The following is a 22,179-nucleotide window of genomic DNA, read 5'->3' as shown; positions in this document are numbered from 1 at the left end:
GAGCCAAATTCAACTATGCGTAACATGATGGACAGACTCTCCATTTGTATGACGTGGTGATGGGGAGGTGGTGTTACAGGAGCAGAACACTCGGCTAGATCGTTGAATATTGAGTGAGATGGGCTGAAATGGGCAGACAGGTCCTGGAGAACAGCTCAGTCATAGTTAAGGACACATGAAAGCACTTCATTCATTTGTGCAATGTGGAGTGGCCATTAGTTGGGCTACGAGAACCTTGAGGGTGTGCAACTGGACAGCCTGGCTGGGGGGAGCCAGCTTGTGATGCCAACAAATTTGTGCCTCTATTGTTGACTGGGACTGATTCTAATATCTATGACTATGCCTGCTTTCAGTTGTCATTCTCAGTTTCTCCCACCTGAGTCACTTGTCTATCCCAATCCAGTTTTCCATCCCTTGGGACTGCCTGGCAGTAAAAGGATTATTCTGGTACATTTCTTTCTTCTGAGTCTGTTTCCTGCTTCACTCTCTGATCTTCCAGTATACTCCTGGGAGTTCAGTTTCCTTTAAACTTTGTTGAGCACATTGCATTTTCTGTACCAGAAATCATTCATTCGTTTGTCACTTTCTGAGAACAGACTCGGTGCCAAAAACATGCATCACTGAACCATGAAGTTCACGATCCTTACTCTCGAGGAGCTTACAAGACTGCAGGCTTCGCAAGTGAGTGAAGTAGGATAGGAATAAAGCAAAAGAGATTGGCGGCCAGTGTAGACAATTGAAGGTCATATGCTCCATTGAAAGGTACACAAATCTCTTCTTTTAAAACACTGGGCAACAATGTGAAACAGGTCTTCCAGTTGGGTACCCTCTAACTTTAAATGTCATCTGTTCTTTGCCAACGGCCAGATGTGTAGCCCACAATTCTCCTTTGAACTGCACAGCCCTATACAGCACCCAACTCACATGGCTGCTCTGAAGTCTCACTGACAGGTCACACTCCTCATAGCCAAGAGTGAACTTTCAACCTCACCCACCGCCAATCCACTCTTCCTGAGTGGCCTTTCCCAGGTCAGGAAATGGTAATTCCATGCTTCCAGGTGCTCAACTGTGAAAATCAGGTATTATCTTTGACTGTCACCTGTTATCACATGTGTATTCAATTCATCCACCCCATTGGCTCTGACATCAAAAATTACCCAGAATTCAGCCAATTCCTTCTGCCTCTTCTGCTGCCACCACTACTGTCCTCCATCCACTTCTGCCTTTGATAGGAGCAAAATCACCTCAATAGCAGCCAGAAGGAGGCTATCAATGAAAACCAAAGCCATTTTATTGCTCTGACCAGTGCCTCTCTGTGGTTTTCAATCTCAGAGAAAAGCCCAGTTCCTCTCAGTGCCCCAAAAGGCTCCACACATGCCGTCTTCTTTCTCCTCCCCTTTGCCTGCTGACCCTCTCACACCAACTCCTTGCCCCCTGCTCTCTCCCCTCACTCCCTGCTTTGCACCCTGGTTCTGCACCAGCCCCTTGGTCTCCTTGCTGATACTGAATCTTCCAGTCAAGTTCCAGCATCACGGACTTCTCATTTGCTACAACAGTCTCCTGGTTCTTGACTCACTCCCTCACCTCCTTCAAGTCTTTGTTCAAATGTCTGCTTCTCAGGGAGACAGTGTTTTACCACCAACCAATTTAAAACCACATCCCCCTCCTTCCAGCCATCTCTAATGCCCTTCCCGCTTGTTCTCCTCTCTAGCACGCTGCTCTCTGAGGTGCCGTGTGTCCTTCTCAGGAGTCTGCTTGCTGGCCGCTTCCTCACTGGAATGTTAGCGCCTTGAGAATGGCGATTCTTGATGTTTTTATTCACTACTTCATTCCCAGCACCTAGAACAGTGTCAGCATATAAAGGGCACTCAGTCATTCTTTGTTCAGTGAATGAATATACTAATGCATTCAGGAAGACCTCTATTCACTGAATCCTGAATATTTCTGGGGAAGAGTTCAGAATATTTGCATTCATTTTGTATGTGTAGGTGGTGGAGGGCATTTCACCAGGAGACCTCACTATCCAGATTCCTATCCATAGAGACATCATTTATCAGGGATGTAAACCTTCCAGACTGGGGAGCTGCCAGAAAGATGCCATGAATAGCAGTGTGCTTAGGAAGGACCCTGGGAAACTGCAAAACACCAATTCCTGCGGTATTGAGGTCAGTGCCATAGTGTCCACGGCATAATCAAGTTCATATGAGTCCGACTTCAATGATGGGAGAAAGTTAGACTCTAGAATACCTTTTGAACTGGTACAAAGGCGTGGACCTAAAACTCAGAGAGGCAGTAGCAGAAAATCAGGTACCTTCCTCCAAACCCAAGGCTGTGTGCTGTTCTTTGCAAAAGATTGTGCAAAGGAATTAAGAAAGAAATGGCGTAATTAAAAACTTCTCAAATGGGGCCTTCTGGGGCCTGCACAGGCTGTCCGTGTTGGCAATTCCTATGTCTGATTTTGGACTCTCTGGGCCACTGGCTTTCTAACTCTTTCTGTTTTTCACCTACAGACAGGAATCAATTTTTTTTTCCCAACCCAGTTCACACAAATATGACTATTACAAATAAATAATACTCAACCTTCCTTTGTGTGTGAGGCACCCAGATAATTCCTTTTAGGTTCTCTCTCTCTCTCTGTCTCTCTCTTTCTGTCTGTCTGTCTCTCTGTCTCTTTCTCTTTCTCTCTCTCTCCGTCTCTCCCTCCCTCTCCCTCTCTCCAGGGTCTCATTCTGTTTCCCAAGCTGCAGTGCAGTGGCATGACCTTGGCTCACTGCAACCTTGACCTTCTGGGCTCAAGTGATCCTCCCATCTCAGCCTTCCAAGTAGCTGGCACTATAGGCCTGCGCCACCACACCCGGCTAATTTTTTGTAGAGACAGATTTCGCCATGTTGCCCAGGCTGAGTTCTCTTTTATTTTATTGTTACTATTTTTAAAATGCTGGCTGATAGAGCCAGGATTAGGGTGAGATTGGTGAGAAACTTGTTGAAGGTGCAAGACTTATGGGGGAACCAAAATTGTAGTCCATCAAGTCATATTTTTAGGGAATATTTATAAAAATCAAAATTCAGGAAAACAATCCATGAGGAGCAAGGTATCAAATTTTTCAATAAAGACAGGCATCCATGTGTTTGTTTTCTGATCCCACGTTATTGTGCACCTTTTTGTTATTATGTCACTTACAATTGGCTGTGAGTCCCCTGCCAATGGGTTTATGAGTGTTGATGATGACATTTGGAGAGCTTGGACTATGTGGGGCTTTATATAATCATGCTTTTTGATTGTAGAGCTTTTTTCTTTTTTAACTTTTTCCAGTTAATTCAAAATATCGTCATGTGCTTCGATGAGTGTATATAGGAGCCCATTTCCCCTTTCATCCCAAGCTCCAGCAGGGCTTGGCAGGGCACTCTTGGGTGACTACCCTCTACACTCATTTTCCATAGTAACATTTGGAAAGAAACAACACAAGATGGTTCCCTGCCTTTCTACATCCTGCAGGTTTTGCCAGCATGTGCAGCTCACCTGACATCAACGCTTTTTCCTACCTGCCTTCTAGACACTGAACTTACCTGCCTAGGTCTCTGTGCAACTCTTTTTCTACAGAAAGAAAAACTCTATTATAACCTCTAATTATATGCACTTACACACACACACACACACACACACACACATATATGTATTTTCAAATCATAGAACAAGCATGTTTGGTGGGGGGAGTTAGGTAACAGAAACATGTCAAAGTAATTTCATCAGAACAGAGAGCTATTACTGAATCGCGTTAGAAAAGAATACACTGGGAGTTTGAAGGGAGTTATCTGTGTTCTTCTTTAAGCACCTAACTTACATCATGGGAGCAGCATGTGGGAGAAGAAAGTTCCGTAATAAGCTACTTAAAATGATCACACAGGAGATATACAGTTAGTGCAGTCTGTGTTTTACTGCTGGAAACCTTCAATCATGAAGAAGTGATTAACCAAGGCTGCTCCAAGTGGCATTGGTGAATTAAAAGTTCAAACATGAAAGCTGACAAAAACAATCATTGGGTAAGGGACTCCTTGTTCAGTAATTGGTGCTGGAATAACTGGCTAGCCATATGCAGAAGATTGAATCTGGACCCCTTCCTTACACCACACGCAAAAATCAACTCGAGATGGATTAAATACTTAAATGTAAAACCCCAAGCTATAAAAATCCTGGAAGACAACATAGGCAATACCATTCTGGACATAGGAACTGGCAAAGATTTCATGATGAAGACTCCAAAAGCAATCACAACAAAAGCAAAAATTGGCAAATGGGATCTAATTAAACTTAAGAGCTTCTGCACAGCAAAAGAAACTATCAGCAGAGTAAAGAGATAACCTACAGAGTGGGGGAAAATATTTGCAAACTATGCATCTTACAAAGATCCAATATTCAACATCTATAAGGAACTTAACCAATTTATAAGAACTTAAACCAACTTATAAGAAAAAACATTAAAAAGTGGGCAAAGGACATGGACACTTTTCAAAAGAAGACATACATACAGCCAACTATCTTATGAAAAAAAAAAAGCTCAGTATCACTGATCATTAGAGAAATGCAAATCAAAACCCCAGTGAGATATCATCTCACACCAGTCAGAGTGGCTATGATTAAGAAATCAAAAAATAGCAGATGCTGGTCAGGTTTCATAGAAATGGGAATGTTTATACACTGTTGGTGGAAGTGTAAACTAGTTCAGCCATTGTGGAAAGCAGTGTGGCAATTCATCAAAGAGCTAAAAATAGAACTACCATTGGACGCAGCAATCTTATTACTAGGTGTATAACCAAAGGAATATAAATTGTTCTATCATAAAGATACATGCATGTGTATGTTCATTGCAGCACTATTCACAATAGCAAAGACATGTTATCTACCTAAATGCCCATCAAAGGTACATTGGATAAATAAAATGTGGTACATATATACCATGGAATTGTACACAGCCATAAAAAAGAACAAGATCATATCCTGTGCCAGAACATGGATGGAGCTGTAGACCATCGTCCTTAACAAACTAACGCAAGAATAGAAAACCAATTACCACATGTTCTCATTTATAAGTGGGAGCTGAATGATGAGAACACATGGACACGAAGAGGGGAAAAAACAGACAGTAGGACATTCCTGAGGGTGAAGGGTTGGAGGAGGTAGAGGATCAGGAAAAATAAGTAATAGGTACAGGTCTTAGTACTTGGGTAACAAAATAATCTGAACAGCAAACCCCCATGACACAAGTGAACCTATATAAGAAACCTGCACATGTACCCCAAACCTAATTTTTTTTAAGTTAAATTATGTTTTCCTCTCTGGTGTTTAATATAATAGAACCCTTTCTAGTAGTTTCTAAATGTTGCTATTGTTAAATTTGTTCTGACAACAGTGAAATTTTAAGTGAAGTAAACATGGAATGTACAGTGGCCGTCTGACGTCTCTTAACCTTAAATCTAATAATTGATGAATTTCTTTATATTCAGATTTAAGTTTACCAGATTGGGTGAAGCCTTTCCAAGTTTAAAATTAATTGCATTGATGACTAACATTGCTTTCCAGACCTAGAATACTCAAAGACCAGGGCAAATTTCACAAGACTGAAATAAAATGCATAATTATTATAGGTCACTGATAAGTTCAGGCTGCCAAGGGGACAATGGCATCTACCTTTGGGAAATAGTTAAGCAGCAATATGCATGATTGAAGAAGATCTTAAAAGAAAAGCTGTTTTCTCTGGTTCAAATAAATGAACAGATGTGGCTGGTATGATGTGTTTTGACAAAGTGCTTTGAAGACACGGTGCTTAAAAGGCTGAAAAGCCACCACTCCAGCAATTCCCATCTTCTAAGAGCCACACTGCCAGATTTCACAGATTTCATGCAGGAAATGAAAGTAGTTTATGAAAGTGCAAGGGACATGAGCAATTTGGGAGCCATGGGTAAACTACAGGATTTTTACATTCAATCAGCTGTATTACAAAAACTGCTTTGGAAAAACAGATATCAAATGTATAGGTCCCCCAAGCACAGCAAAAGCAGTGGGCCCATGAAAAAATGGATACAAATTGATAAAGTGGGAGAAATTTTTTAACGAATTGCTGTCTCCCATAGAATAGAAGAAAAAATATGCACACACACATACTTATATCCATCCATGCATATATATGAGAGAAGAAGTGTAGAGTGAGAGTCTAGTATTAGTAGATAATGAAAAATAATTCCAGTAGACTGCTTAACAACAAAGAATTTTTACCAAGTCATGTCGTTGTTGTTTTTGGCTGAGTGAATTTGAGGTTAAACTCTACCACCCAAAGCTGGATGACTTCCAACAACTTCTCACTGTTTGACATCAGCCATATTTATTTGCTTGCTTGATCTTAAATCCCTAAAAATCAGATACGCAGTACAGGAGATCATTTCCATTGGTCCGCTATTCATAACAACATTCTCTTCTTTACCACCCAACTTTTCTAAGGAAACATGGATGCCATCACCTCATGAAAAGGAATCCCTCATAGATTATTGTAACCATAGCAAAGGGACACATTTGGAAAGAGTAGTTTTGTGGTAGGGTCAAGATGGGCAAGGTGGGCCGAGTGTGTTGTCAGACACCGCAGAGCCTTTGGAGGCCGAGTCAGGAGGATTGCTTCATCCCAGGAGTTTGAGACCAGTCTGGGCAACATAGTGAAACCCTGTGTCTACAAAAAACAATTTAAAAATTAGCCAGGTGTTGTGGTGTGAACTTGTAGTTCCAGCTACTCAGGCAGCTGAGGTGGGAGGATCACTTGAGCCCAGGAGTTTGAGATTACAGTGAGCCATGATCAAGCCACTCTACTTCAACCTGGGCAACAGATTAAGATCCTAGATCTTAAACAAAACAAAACAAAACAAAAACAACACCACCAAAAAAAAAAAATAGGTGATGTGTATTCATAAACATTTTTCCTTGGGTTGAGTCTCCCTAACAGGTATATGTCTGCTGTGTCTAACACTACCATCATATGGTTGTTAAAAAAACAAAAACAAAACAAAAAAAGTTGCTTTTCTAAGAATAGGCCATGTAAAATTGAGAGTTAATAATGAATAGTTCATGGGAGTTAATTGCCGTGATAATTGTGGGATAAATCATGACCTGCTAATAAAACAGTGGGCTATAAAAGACCTGCCCGTAAAGCAATGGAACTGAATCCACAAAATAGACAATCAACACAGTCTCATTCTTCTTGACATTCAGCCTATTCCAGTTAACTCAGAAAAATGTGACTGAGAGCCTATTATTTTCTTTGTCAAGTGTTCTTAACTGTGAATCCCCAGTTTTTTATGTTAAAGTGGGATCTTTGTATAAAAAGGGAGGTGTTTTACTTCTGGCAAATAATTCAAAGATAACAGAGACCTACTCCCTTTCTGTGCAATATTACAAATAAATTGGAGGGAAATAGGAAGTGAAAAATCACTCTAATCCCACAACCATGATTTCAACAGTATGCCGCTGTCAAGTATTATTTTTTGTAAGGAGTGTTAAAATACTTTGCACTTATATAGCACTTTACATTTTTAAGTGTTTTGGGCTGTATATTAATTTCATTCTAATAATAATCATGAACATTTAGTATATGTTTCTTGCTCTATCCAGAAATAATTTTCTCTGGGCATATTTCCATACTGAATAGCAAATAGATATTATTATTACTGCAAGAGAAACTTGTAGGAAGCTGATTGTATGGGGAAGATTGTTAGGCGTGTGAGTGTATGGAGTTTTTTATATGTAAAGGTGATATGAATCAGCCAGGTTTGTGTTTACTTTTGCCTCCACCTGGCCATAGAATCACTGAAAATTTTCCTAAGCCATCTGGACCTCCATTTCCTCATCTAAAAATGTGAATAATAATACCTATCTTGCATTGTTACTGAGAAGTTTGAGTGAAATCGTGCATATAACTCACATAGCATGTTGCCTGGCACCTAGTAAATTGTCCAAGTAATAACCCTCATTGGTAATTACAGGTGAACACAGAATGGTACAGTGGGAATTTAAAGACACTCGGAGGTTCTGAAAAGTCATTAATAATGTAAGTCTACTCATAGAGTTACAAGTTCTTAAGTGGGTTTTCCGAGTTAATTAGTCCCGGCTGGGTGCAGTGGTTCATACCTGTAATCCCAGCACTTTGGGATGCCGAGGTGGGCGGATAACTTGAGTCAAGGAGTTCCAGACCAGCCTGGGCAACATGGTGAAATCCCATCTCTACAAAAAAAAAAAAAAAAATAGAAAAATTAGCCGGGCATGGTGGTGCACACCTGTAGTCCCAGCTGCTCAGGAGGCTAAGGTAGAAGGATCACCTCAGCCTGGGGAGGTCAAGGCTGCAGTGAGCCATGATGGGGCCACATATTCCAGCCTGGGTTACCGAATGAGATCCAGTCTCAAAAAGAAAAACAAACAAACAAACAAAACAAAACTAGTAAATTAGTCCCCAGAATCATCTGGTAAGAGTCCATCCAGGTTTACCAACATGAAGTCTTCTATTTCATTTCTTTATGTGAATATAGGACATAAAATATCTAAAGTCACCCTATATTTAAATATAAAAAGTGGCATATAAAGGTTTCATTGTGCCAGTCTCTGCATTCTCACATCAGCTGACTCTCTTTGAGAACTGCACCCTGATATAAAACCAACTTGACTTCTGTGTCTCAAGTTTACCATTCACTTCACTAACACTGGGCAATCAGCACATCCAAGTTTGGATATTCCTTTTGTCTTGATTAGAGTTCATCCTTTATATGTGTGATTTCCCTAAATTCCTTGAGAGCAAGAGTCTAATGAAGTGTTTTGCACACTCAAATTAGGTACATAATAAATGCTATTGAACCCAAACTGATTCAAAATGGCATACAAGAAATGTTGAACTCTTATGCCATTAATTGTTCACTTTTAGGGAGTTTGGTGAATAAAAGGGAGAAAAAATTAATTACTTACTGCTCCTTGAGTATCCAAAATCCTGAATTAAATTCCTAGCAACCTGGCTACTTGACCAAGCTTTGACAAGTCATTTAGCCCCTCGATCTTGCTGGCCAAATACAACCATCATCAATTCTAATTTCTCTCACTTTCTGCCAATATTCAGTGTAGCTCACAGGCTATGAATGTGAAATAAAGCTTGTGAGTCAAATTGACTTGCCTGCAGTATGAAGAGAATGGCGGTAATACCTGAGACACACTTGACTTATAACCTCTAGCTAAAAGGACTTTCTTGAGAAGTCTGATTAGTAGTTCAGAAAATTATCTCTGCAGAGGCAGCACAGTTCTGCTGATTACACCTCAGCTTTGCAGAGCAGATGTGAAAACGGGTGGCCATGACATGTCACAGAAGTATGGCTCTAGCACAGTGAACCAATGAAGGGCAGGTGTACATAGGGCGGGTGCTTAGAACCTCAAGGGTACCATGGAAGGTAATTGGTAATAATGACGACAAGTGCTGCAAAATAGCAAGAGGCAACTTGCTGTGCTAATGGGACTCAATCTAAGGGGCTCAGTTTGAATGCATATAATGACATCAAGCTTGAGAAATTTCAGCTATCATGGTTTTCAAAAGTATTTCATAAGCGAAAAATAAATTTTTTTCCTATCCAGTATTCACAATGGTGCTTCAAGGAAAACCATGGCTGTTGCTATCCCTAAGGAGACACCTGCGTTGGTGTCTTCTGTCTTGGTGCCCTCTTTCTGATTTACCCTTAAAGAAAACACCAGTTCCTTCTGCCTTTTGAAAGCTGCCCCAGAGTCAAAGTATCTTCTCTTATGTGCTTGTTTACTTCTCTCTTCTCCAATTAGCTATTATTGTCTCTTTTCTCTGGGCTCTCATAATATCATTTTTAAACCTTGATTCTTACTGTTATAACAAAAACATTATTTTTCTATTACAATATTTAAGTGCTTTTCTGTTGCCCCTAACTAGATTAGAAGATCTTTGCTAAGCCTTGCTCATTTTGGGAGAGTTGGGAGAAGGTGTCACAGTGCCTTGTCCAGTGCATGGAGGTGGGCCGAACAATCAGTTAAATTGTTAAATAAATAAATTGTTATCTACATAATTAATTGAAGTTTTAATCATATAAATCATATTGTATTCTTTTTGCTAATCTCACATGGGTGGAATGCAAAAATCTGTGGTTAAAAGGGTTGAAGGTTTTTCTCCAGACAAATGTCAGTTTAAACCAAATAATGATCATATACAGGTGCTCCTTTTGTGGACCCTCTCTTCCAAACAGCATAGATGCCATGCTTCAGGCTCTCGATTACTGCTTATTAAGAAAGAAAGAGTTCTTTAAATCCCAGCCAAACATGGTCACAAGATGATGCGGAAGCTTAAAAATATTTGAGAGGAAGGGGAGTGTTCAAATTCATCACATTTGTTTAACTAAGATCCACACAGCTTCTTTGCACACTGCAGATTAGGCCTGGCATCCCCATTGTAATAGCAGGGATCCTACAGAAGCTCTTCTTGGATGCTCTGGTCTCAGATTCTATCCTAGTATCTCCAGTGGTGCCTTGCTAACTTTCTCCTCAGTTCCTGGCTCACCCATTGGTCTGTTTGCAGTGCTCTGCCTGTGGACACACCTGCTGTGTCCTTCTCTCAGTGTGCTCTAGAATGGGTTTTTAACTTTTCCTTGATATGAACATCTTTTCTGGGAATAGCGATGGAGCCATTTCCTGTAGTTGTTGAGTGTATGTTGAGTGTTTCAGTGACTTCTCAGCACCAGTGAGAGAAAACCTGCTTAGGCCTTTTTTACTGCTCTGGAAACCATTGATGATGCTGCCGCATCTAAATTTAAATATTCTCTTCTCACTCAGTATCCCCTTCTCAGCCAACTGGTTGCCCTTATATGCCATGTGTTGCTTATGTCTTTATTATTTGGCCTAGGGAAAGCCTAATACTTATAATAAACAACATGAACATTCAATGCCAGGAGTGGGCTAGAAGATACTGCCAGCCACACTTGTATCTTACTGATTTTGCATTTTCTCTCTCCCCACTCCCAGTTGGCCTTCTTCAGTTGGGTGCCATTAAATCTTTGAGAATGTAATTGTCATCCATTCTCCTTAAGTCTTATAGTCAAAGCTTCTGGCTGTAAAATGAATTCCATTAGTTTAGCTCTTGAGGACTGCCAATCCGATTTGTATTTTCTACAGAATATTTGGACCTGTCACTAATTTTTTCTTTCTTTCTTTCTTTTTTGAGGCAGAGTTTTGCTCTGTCACCCAGGCTGGAGTGTGGTGGTACGATCTCGGCTCACTGCAACCTCCTACTCCAGGTTCAAGCGATTCTCTTGCCTCAGACTCCTGAACTAGGACCACAGGCATGCGCCACCATGCCCAAATAATTTTTTGAAGACAGGTGACACTGCTCAAATTTAATCAGTAAAGGTCTCTCCTCTTAGACGAGACTAGGAAACATTTTGGTTTTATCCATTTCACTCTCTGTGCTGAACTTGATGTCATATAATTGCTGGTCAGTCTAACACCGTCATATTATACATCTTTTTCAAATTAGAAAATATACTGCAATATAAAAATCAATATCAGTTCTAACAATGCATAGGAACCTTTTACAAAGTTTAATCATATAAGTTCTAAGAACTTAACAGTGCAAAGATCTCAAGACTATAACATTCTTAGAAGTTATTCCAACCAAAATTTCCTAAGATTGAAATGCAGAAACTTACAGAATTGAGTAAAAAGACAAAAACGTAAATACTAAATATTGAAAAGATGCAAGTTCTCCCCAAATACACTCATAGATTTAATAAAATTCAAATTTAAAGGCAATTAATTAGGGATGAGGCAAGAATCTGGGAAGAAAATTAATCTGAAGTTTGTCTGGAAAAATCAATGGGTGAAACGAAAATATTTTAGGATAAGATTAATGAGAAGTAAAATTATTTCAATTATAAAAGTAAAATGATAAAATAGTTAGACCTATATGGTACTGATGCCAGGAATGTTATACAAAGCTACGTCAAGGCTTGAGATAATTTTATTGAAAGATATTCGTGGTTATCTCATTGGCTATAAAAGAAGAATTTACAACAGTTGAGATTCTATTAAGTGTAAAGTTGTCCAACAGTTATAAGGATTAAGTGAGGATCCCCCCCAAAAAATTTAAAAAATAGGATGAACAAGTACTTATATAAAATGAAAGGCTCACACGATGACACCACTTGCTTCTTAAATACTTAATTTTAAAGGCAAAAATTAAACTGTTGTTTAGGATACCTTTGAATATGACAGTGTTCGCTTCTGAAAATAAAGGCTGAATTGTTCTATATATGGTAACAGGGAAGACAAGAAGTTTTGCCAGCTTGTGTTAAAAACAAAATGAAGCCAGACATAGATTTATTCACTTTAACAATAGTAATATTTTAAAAGTACCAAATTCAAATTCTTTTTGGCTTCACTTTGGGAATTAATGCCATATTAAACCTAATTCCTATTCTTCTGGAGAGTGATATTTATTCTTTTTGGCATTGGTAACTCCTATGTGGAATTAAGCCTTGACAAGGACAGCAAGCTTCTGTATCAATTTTTCTCAGAATGATTTTGTCATGATATTTAATGGACCACTTTTTGGCCTTTATAGAATGAACTTCCTGAGCTTTTAAAAGTCATAGTCAAGCTATGCCTGTCAGATAGAGAGGACACACTAATTAGTATCAAGTGCTCTCAATTTGTTTAGCATTTACTGTTGGTAAATACCTTTATCAAAACCATTATTCTATTACTAGAATTTGTTATTTAGAAACGTTGATAACATCACTGTGATTTTTTTAAAAGTAGGAAACAGTGTATTCTGAGTATAATCAGTCCTTGATTCTCTTTGTTAAAGAAACAATCGAAGAAACTTTTTTAATTCAGCAGAAAAGCATTCAAATGTGTTTACATTCATTTTTTAGACTATAAAATCTGTATGTATGACAAGAAAATTAAAAACTACATTAAAAGATAGAAAATGCATTAAAATTATAGACTTTGGGCCAGGTGCAGTGGCTCAGGCCTGTAATCCCAGCACTTTGGGAGGCCAAGGCAGGTGGATCATGAGGTCAGGAGATCGAGACCATCCTGGCTAACACTGTGAAACCCCGTCTCTACTAAAAATACAAAAAATTAGCTGGGCATGTTGGTGGGCGCCTGTAGTCCCCGCTACTCAGGAGGCTGAAGCAGGAGAATGGTTTGAACCTGGGAGGCGGTGGTTGCAGTGAGCAGAGATCGCGCCACTGCACTCCAGCCTCAGCGACAGAGAGAGACTCCATCTAAAAAAAAAAAAAAAATATATATATATATATATATATATATACTTTGTATCAAATAATAGCTAAAGTAAAAGGACTTAGATACTTAGACATCTTGGTTGAAACCCAGCTCTGCCCATATTGTGATGAAAATGTGATTTCACTTCTGTGGTCTTCCTCTCCAAATCCTATCATCCCAGTTTAATCATGAGATCACGAGAAAAATCTCAGATGAATCCTAATAGTGGGACATTCTACAAAACATTTGACCAGTACTCATCAAAACCGTCAGGGTCATTGAAAATAAGGAAAGCTTGAGGAACTGTCATAGCCAAGGAGAGCTTAAGGAGGCAGGATGAATAAATGCAATGTGGAATCCTGGAGGGGGTCGTGGGACAGAAAAAGGACATTAGATTACAAATGAAGGAAATCTAAATAAACCAAGGACTTTAGTCAGTGATCATATTCTTGACTGAATAATTGTGACAAATGAGCCGTATTAATATAAGATGTTTATAATAGGGGATCAACTAGGTATGGGACAATCAAAACTCTCTGTACTATCTTCTCAATTTTTCTTTTTTTTAAGACAGAGTTTCATTCTTGTTACCCAGGCTGGAGTGCAATGGCACAATCTCGGCTCACCAAATCTCCGCCTCCCAAGTTCAAGCAATCCTCCTGCCTCAGTCTCCCGAGTAGCTGGGATTACAGGCATGCACCACCATGCCCAGCTAATTTTGTATTTTAATGGAGATGAGGTTTCTCCATGTTAGTCAGCCTGGTCTCGAACTCCTGACCTCAGGTGATCCGCCTGTCTCGGCCTCCCAAAGTGCTAGGATTACAGGTGTGAGCCACCGTGCCTGGCCTATGTTCTCAATTTTTCTATAAATCTAAAACTATCCTGATAATAGGGTGTGTTTTATAAAGAAGGAGGGGGCGAGAGTGGAGTTGGATAGCATAGAATTATTATATGCTGTACTAAGCAATTTAGAACATATTTCAATTATATTTGGAGCCTCTAAGGTATTGAGTCATAGGATATGCACTCCGGTAGCCCTGTGAAGACTCAGACCAGGCCAGAGGAGGCATGGTCAAGGGCTTGAACGAAGGCAACAGCAGTGAGACTAAATGGAGGCAGGAAGCAAGGTGCAAAGCAGTGGAATTAATAGCACTTAATCCCTGATTAAATTGGGCCAGGTGGTGAGAGGAGGGAAAAATCTACGATGATGGCTTTCAAGATGAAAATGGAGCATTGGAAAAGGTTTATAAAAGGAAGGAAAAATACTTGAATATTTAAAATTACCTAAGAAAAATAAATTATGTTGAGAAAGTGTTGAGTGGGCATCTACAAGGGTGGAGAATTTTCTGAGAAGCTGGCCTTAACTGTGTGGCTCTGGGTGTTCTGGTCTTGAGCAGATAATACTTAGAACCTTTCTTTGTCAGCCCCTGTGATGTGATCATCATCTGTTTGTAACAAGCAGTGTCAGCTGACGGACTGACTTCTCTGAACGTGCATCCAGGTTTCAGGGCCCTGGTGCTCCAATAAATGCAGCAGTGTTATGCCTTTCTGTGCTGAAAGTAACTTTAAAGGATTGTGGATTTCGTGTACTCTCTTGCATATCGATTTATGCAACTCCCAACAATGTGGGTGACTGAACTGATATTGGCTGATCTTCTTCCTGCACACCAGAAACTCTTCAGAGGTCAGGAATAAATTACAATCTGCATGCAAAAATATTAATACATATCTGATTTCCAGGGGGAAAAAAGGAAATCTGCAGGCACCCAACATGGAGAAATCACATGCAACTTTGTTTTACATCCTTAGGCTGGATGTAGAGGAAGCTGGCATGGCATCCCTGCACAAAGACTGGAGGCAAAGGGCAGCCTCAGCTGTGGAAAGAGCTAGAAACTCCCTGAACACTTGTTTGAGATCAGCAGAGCAACTTGCCATCTCAGGGGTCTTGGGTGAGGAAAACGTTCTCCCATGAGAAACCCAAACTCCAGACCTGCTTGAGCGTAGAGAGTTATATATGACCTGCAGAAACCCAAGCTGAAAAATTTAAACTGGAGACTTATGTAGAAACCCTTAGGGCCACAGCACAGGCAAATGTGACTCTTCTCTTCAGGCCCTTCCACAAAGTTGATCGTGCAAGAATCCCACAAGAAAGGAGAGAACACCCCACTGAAAATGAGCTCAGATTTAAAAATTCCAGGTGACAAGATGAGTGAGTCACCATGAATAATCAGCAATTTCAACAGAGTGATTAGCAACCCAGGAATTGAAGTTACTAGAGGAAACTGAATGAAAAGAGAAAATAAGAGACTCTAAAATTTGAAAAAGGAAAAAATAGAATTTCTAGAAATGAATAAGTGTAGTCATTAACGTTAAAGCCTCGCAGGAGGGTTTGAGTATCTGCAGTATTGTCCGAGCACCCTTTGGACGTTTCAGGACCTGACAGACATATTGGATACTGTATCTACAGAGAGATCTGGGAACCTGCTGCTCTGTGGATGGGCTGTGGCTTCCTGGGGCTGATACCATGGAACTCTTGAAATGGTTCCCTGAATTTTTATCCTGAGTAAGTTTGCTTTGATTAAAAAGTATCCCATAGCTGACATTTTTAAAACCAAAAGTGTCCTAAATGAGTTTATTATTCATCTTAATGATTTTCTGTTTTATGATTACAAATTTTTAAAAGTCACTTTTGTCCTCTTGCTTTCATCTCCATTGGCTGTAAGGACTGACTGATGCTTAAGGACTGCGATACCAAGGGTTACTAGCTCTTAAGTTTCTATGATTCCCTATTCTATGGGCTAGGGACTGCCTTAATCTTAGGATTGTCTCCCTGGAAATTCTGCACTAATACAGTTTTTCTGTTATTTGTACTTGAGTCTCATTTGCCCTTCTGCCTGTGCAGTTTTTGATGTAGATTACAGTAACACTTGCAGATTGGGACTTCACACAGACACACGTTTAACTCCCCAGTTGAAATTAGCAAAAGAAGAAGAAGAAATTTACAAACACTTTTAGTCAGAAGAGGAAGAACAGTACGATATCTCTAAAAGCTAATGCATATTTTTTATCCTATTATTTTTTGAACTAAATTTAAAGGCAGAAAGTTACTTGTATTTATCTTTATGCCCCCTAAAGTACTATGTATGTGTTAGTGAAAGACATTTACTGGAAGTTTTAAATAGTTCTGCATGTAGAAGAAAAACAGGAATGTTGGTTGCACAACACAGCTAAGTGGTTAGGATTCATTTTTGGACTTCCACCCTTATCACTGGGAATAAATACCCAAAACTGCTGCTTAAATAACATTAAAATTTCTCTAAGTAAAATGTTACCCCCAGAAGCCCAAGTCACCCTTTTCTTTTAAAATCTAGTAAAAGCATATTTATTTGTTAAGTCTACGTACTTATTTTGACTCACACACACAACCCTAGAGAAAACAAACAAAATTATATTTCAAAGGCCAGAACATGCCACAAATTCTTGACACTCATTGAATATTCTGTGTAGAATCAGGCCCGATGTAAACAACAGGCACTTGGAGTATAACCGTTCATCTCCAGGACCCTCAAAAATGGCAGGGACCTTCTCAGCCTCCGACATAAGCAAAGCCTTGCCCCAGTGTGGGAGAAGGACAGAGAGCATCTCAGGGCCAACCCATTCCAGATACAACCAGGACGAGCAGAAACCATGCAGGAAGTGGAAGAGGAGAGATGAAGCAAGCACATAGCGGAGCTTGCCCATCACGCCTGGGGTCGGGCAGGCCAGCCTGGGAGAGCTGAGCTCCCCAGGGGCCTTGCTCCAGTGCACAGCCTGTGCTGGCTCTGCACACACTTTTCTGCACATCCAGGGCCACGCTATGGATCTCTTACAGATGATGGTATGGGCACCAGCCTGGTGCACTGGCTTAGGAAGGAGCTTTTTGTATGGCTTCAGTGAGTGCCCTTGTGAGCAATACCACCTTTGAGCCTGGGCATTTCCATGTCCTGAGCTGTCCTGGCTCAGGTCTTTTGCTGTGTCCAGCCCACACTGCACAATACTTGTTATCCTGGGAAGATTGGCATAGCACAGATTTCTTTCATGGTGAATTGCACCTGTGTGATGTTGTTGCTGCAGTACACGCATGTGTGGGAAGCTGACCATCACATAGAACATCGTTTTCCCAGAAAATGAGTTTGTCAAAAGGAACTGATTTGGTGGGGGAGGGGAAGATAAAAGGCAGGAGATGGCGTCAGTGACTTTCCCACTGATGGTCCTACAGAACCCCCACTAATGTGGGCCTTGGAAATGTCATCTTGTCAATATCTCATGAGGTATGCCCTCCTGTTGATAATTTTTTAATTGTCATTTTTAGAGACATGATTTCTTAAAGTACTTTAAATAGAATGGAAGAGGATTCCTGACAATATTTAACTTTTTAAAAAAGGAAGAGAGAAGAGATTACATTTTCTTGTTACTAGTTTTTCATTAACAATTCAGTTTTTAGATGTTCTTCTGTTATATATCATAGTCTAGTGTGGATTTGATTATAGAATTTGGAGGACACTAGTATATTTTTCATTTTTTTCAAAGAAAATGGATCAGAAGGAACTTAGTAGTAAATTGACAGATAAGTCCTGGGATACTGAAAAAAGGCTTAGAACTCAGCGGAGATTAGTAGTTGTTCCAAATGAGCTACCTTTTAGGTGAATGACTGTACAATGGAACAGTCTTTTGTATTTAAAAATGGTTTTATGTCCTTTGGGAGGCCAAGGCAGGAGGATCACTTGAGGCTAGGAGTTCAGGACTAGCTTGGGCAACATAGCAAGCCCCCGTCTCTACAAAGAATTTAAAAATTAGCCAGGCATGGTGGTATGTGCCTGTAGTCCCAGCTACTTAGGAGGCTGAGGTGGGAGGATTGCTTGAGTCCAAGGTTGCAGTGAGCTATGATCATACTACTGTACTCCAGTCTGGGTGACAGAGTGAAAACCCCACCTCTTCAATAAGTAGTTTTGTTTTTTTAAGTTAGAAAATAAAAATTTCATGAAGTTCGTTTTTAGTTGTACCACTGGTCTGTTTCCATAAAGTCTGCCATTAGGAAAGGTTATCCAGAACTGGCCATCTGCACCTTGGAGATGGAAGTTGACTGTTGTCTTCAACTGCATTCTGCCATGAGGAAGCCAAGTAAATTACTGCAACACCCTCAATCTTACAAGGAAATTCCTAGAAATAATAGCAAACTCCAGATGGAGTTGGTCATCTTTCTGCCAGTATATTTGGAGAGTCTAAACTGGACCAACTTGCTAAGATTATTTAGTCACCATGATGGTTTTAATATTTTCAGGGTCTGTGCCCTTTTGGAAGGGGAAACAGATGTTGAATTATAGCTATGAGTTTTTCAGTAGCTGGTGCTGAAATAATTACCCATCAGGAACACCACAGTCAATAGTGATCTTCATTCGAGTCAGTCTGGCAAAAATAAAGGTGACAGGAAAGCTGTGTCACTTTTGTTTGTCTGCCTAATTCTAGCATTTCAAAATTGGGACATCGATCATGTGAGAATGCCTAGGTGTACAGTTGCTGCATTTATTATGTTTCAAATTTTTACCAGTTGCACAAACATTGCATCTCTATCCACAATAATTCTGAGCAACCCATTAACTGTGCTCAACTTCTGAAAATAACAATAGGGACAGGAAGAGAATGCAAAAAAAAAAAAAAAGTTCAGTTTTGGATATTCTGTGCTATTTCAAGGAAAACTCTGGATAGGTATGCATAGTAAAAGACTGGGGCTTTTTGGAAAATATTTTAATACTGCATAATAGGAAAAGTTATGCAGATTATTAACAATGTGAACAATTACTGCAAAAATGTAAAATATCTTAGTTATTCTTAACATGACTGTTTAAGGAAAATGTGCCTTCCAAAAGACAAAAATCAGTTATGAAGATTAGGAAGTCTAAAGAGAAAATCTTGGGCTAGGGGGAGGGGAAGAAGAGAGAAATATCCTTTAAGCTAGAAGAAACAAAGCCTGCAAGGAGAGATCATTTTGGGATCTCAGCCCATACTCACAATAACTGAGGAAGGCATTTCCTCTTCCATGTTGTTATGAATTTAAAATAAATATGATCACAATGATTGAACAACCCACATCAAATCCATCATGGTATATTCCTAGAATTTTAGTTAATAAAATACAGGAGCCAAGCTTAACTCCTTTTATCTCTTAAACCCCATATTCTACCCAATAGCCAATCTTGTCACCCACATTTTCATAATCTAGCCAGGATCAACCACTTCTCACCACCTTCTCTCCTCCCTGGTCCACCATGCTCTCACCTGTATATCTCTGCCCCATGGCTAGCCTGCTGGCTTCAGTTCTCCAGCAGAGTGTTCTCAGCATAAGTATCAGCATAATAATTAAAAACACAAGTCTGATCACTTCACTCCCTACTTCCCAAGGCCTCTGAGGATACTCAGAGTAAATATGGAAGCTCTAACAATGACTGTGCCCTAGTTGTCTGGAGCCCTGTTGCCCCCACTAAGTCTAAGTCCTGCTGCCTGGCACCCCAGGGCTGCAGGTGCTCTAACCTTGGGCACTTTCTCCCTGGAGAACATTGCAGGCTCCCTTTCTTCTGCCCAGGACTCTCTCCTCCCAGTGATCACCATGCCTTAGTACCTCTCAGTGAAACCCCTCACAGTACTTTATGCAGAGCTGAACCCTTGACACTTTCTGTCCCTATTTTATTTTTCATCACCTTCTAACATGCTACAGAATTATGTACTTATTTATTTTGTTTATCTGTCTCACCCAACTACAAATGGAAGAATTTTTGTCTGTTTGGCTCACTGCTGAATTCCTCAATGCCTAAAGAGGACTAGGCACTTGTAGGAACTCAATAAATATCAGATGAATGAATGAACAAAATCTACTACCTACTTAGAATTTAATTTTTATTCATATCACTTAGATGAACTCTTGGAAGTAAATTTTGGTTCTAGTTCATCATCAATTAACAGGAGTTAACACAAAATAATCAATTAAAATTGCTTTGAAACTAACACTTATTTTGGCTATCTCTATACCCTGCCTCACTAATCACTTGAGAATGAAAAAAGAAACCAGAAACTTGTCTTTCTCATTTTCAAATGAAATCTTTTTTTTTTTTTGTAAGGGACGCTTTCCTCAGCTGTCAAAGCTTAGCTGGACCTGTAGTTCATAGACTCCTGCCTCCATTGCCCAGTGCTTTTTTAAGTCATTAAAAGCATATAAGAAATTGAGTGAGTAGGTTTGCTTTTTGCGTCATGATATAAAGAATCCTTAAAGTTTTTTTTTTTTTAATGAAGCACCCCATGTGTGCTCTCTCAGGTATCTGTATATCCATGCGAAAGAGTTTGTGCTTTGAATTTATCATACCGCACTCTTGGCAAGGAGTAAGCCAGAACATGGGGGCATGGAATATTATGGCAGGCAGCATTTTCCTCTCTAATGTACTAGGATACAGTAGCCACAAACAAGGGTCCTGGTTAATGACCACATAACTGAGAAGCACATTACCATCATGTATGTGCTTATAAACCTGAGACAGCAAATGGCTGAGATGTTTGGTGTAAATTTTTCAATACAAACACAAACTAAAAATAAGGAAGTTATTGTACAAAAATCCAAAGCACTCAAAGAATAATTGTCTCCCTGGATGAACATTTGCATATTTATATAACTGTGCAATTTAAGAGATAGATGGATGGATGGATTAATAGATTACTCTTACCTCTGAAGACGCTTCTAAGTACATTTTCAAGTTTTCTACATAATGAATATGAGGAATAGTGTTAAGAGTGTATCATATACCAAAAGTAGGCTTATTATTTGAATATATTTTCTAAGTTAGCCAGAAGCAATATAATTACAGTACACTTGAAATGAAATGCTAAAATGGGAGGATTTAAATTGTCAAAGCTATTATGTTGGACTTGTGTGATTAATCTTTGAAGGGAATGGCAAACAGCTTTTTAATGAGTTTTAAATGCAGGACTAAGATTGATGGATGGTCCACATTTGATATGAAGACTGAGGAGTCTGCAGATGTGGGACAGGAGGGCATCCGTGCCAAGTCCACATGAGGCCGAGGCAGCTTCTGATAGGTCATTTTGTTGTCCTTTTTTTCTTGTTTCTTTTCTTGGTGGTGGTTTATTTGCTGCAGACAAGTGTTAAGAAACACATAGATTAGAGTGATAGCTCATTTCTTAGTTGGTATTTATTAAATTATTAAAAATTATTAAAAACAACAACAACAGCACATAACATAAAAGTAAGTTACTTTCGAGCACCCCAACTAATGGAATTTATTTTCCATTTATATTTTTAAATTTACTTTTTATTTTTTGTGCTTTTTAGCTTTAGATTTCTTGTTGATGCTTTCTCCTCATCGTAACCTGTTTCTATATTCTTCTGTTACTCTGGGGAAAAAAAAAATAGAATCTTTCTTCTATAGACATACCCATAATATCTAAGACTAAAGCCTGAGGCCACTAATGACACTATCGGACTCCTCTCTGCTGCCACAACAGCAAAGGCAGGGAGGCTGAAGAGACCAAGGCCAGGGCTCAAGTTGAGGGGAGATGTGATATGTCAGGGGTGTATCAGTGCTTTATAATAGGTCAAATCCACAGTGAAGGCCAGAAAGCCAGGCCAGGCCTATAGGAGAGAGGGCAGCTCCCCCAAGTCCTATGCCCACGAGGTCATCGAAATCAAAGAATAAAGAACCTAGACCATAAAATTGGAACTATGACCTTTCTGATCCTCAGTCTTTGCTCTTGGCCAGGAATTATGCCCTCTGCTTGGTATGCTGGGGCAAAACCCACAGAAGTGTGTTTAGATATCCCTG

The 22,179-nt window shown here is 39.6% G+C and overlaps 1 protein-coding gene across 11 annotated transcripts in view, besides 1 other annotated feature; it reads left to right on the top strand.

Annotated features, from left to right (window-relative positions):
- Positions 1 to 22,179, top strand: part of CTNND2 (catenin delta 2) — a 932,611-nt gene that overhangs the window by 420,131 nt on the left and 490,301 nt on the right. The gene's annotated exons all lie outside the window — the stretch shown is intronic.
- Positions 17,697 to 17,873: a silencer, noted in NCBI's record as "fragment chr5:11466555-11466731 (GRCh37/hg19 assembly coordinates)". NCBI's record gives its function as "represses an EF-1alpha promoter that drives an FKBP-Casp9 reporter gene in an ReSE screen in K562 erythroleukemia cells {active_cell/tissue: K562}" and the evidence as "EXISTENCE:reporter gene assay evidence [ECO:0000049][PMID:32094911]".

This window comes from Homo sapiens, chromosome 5 (assembly GCF_000001405.40).
Source record: "Homo sapiens chromosome 5, GRCh38.p14 Primary Assembly".
Classification (NCBI taxonomy): Eukaryota; Metazoa; Chordata; class Mammalia; order Primates; family Hominidae; genus Homo; species Homo sapiens.
Note: the sequence above shows the minus strand (reverse complement) of the source record. Positions and strands in the feature narration are given on the sequence as shown.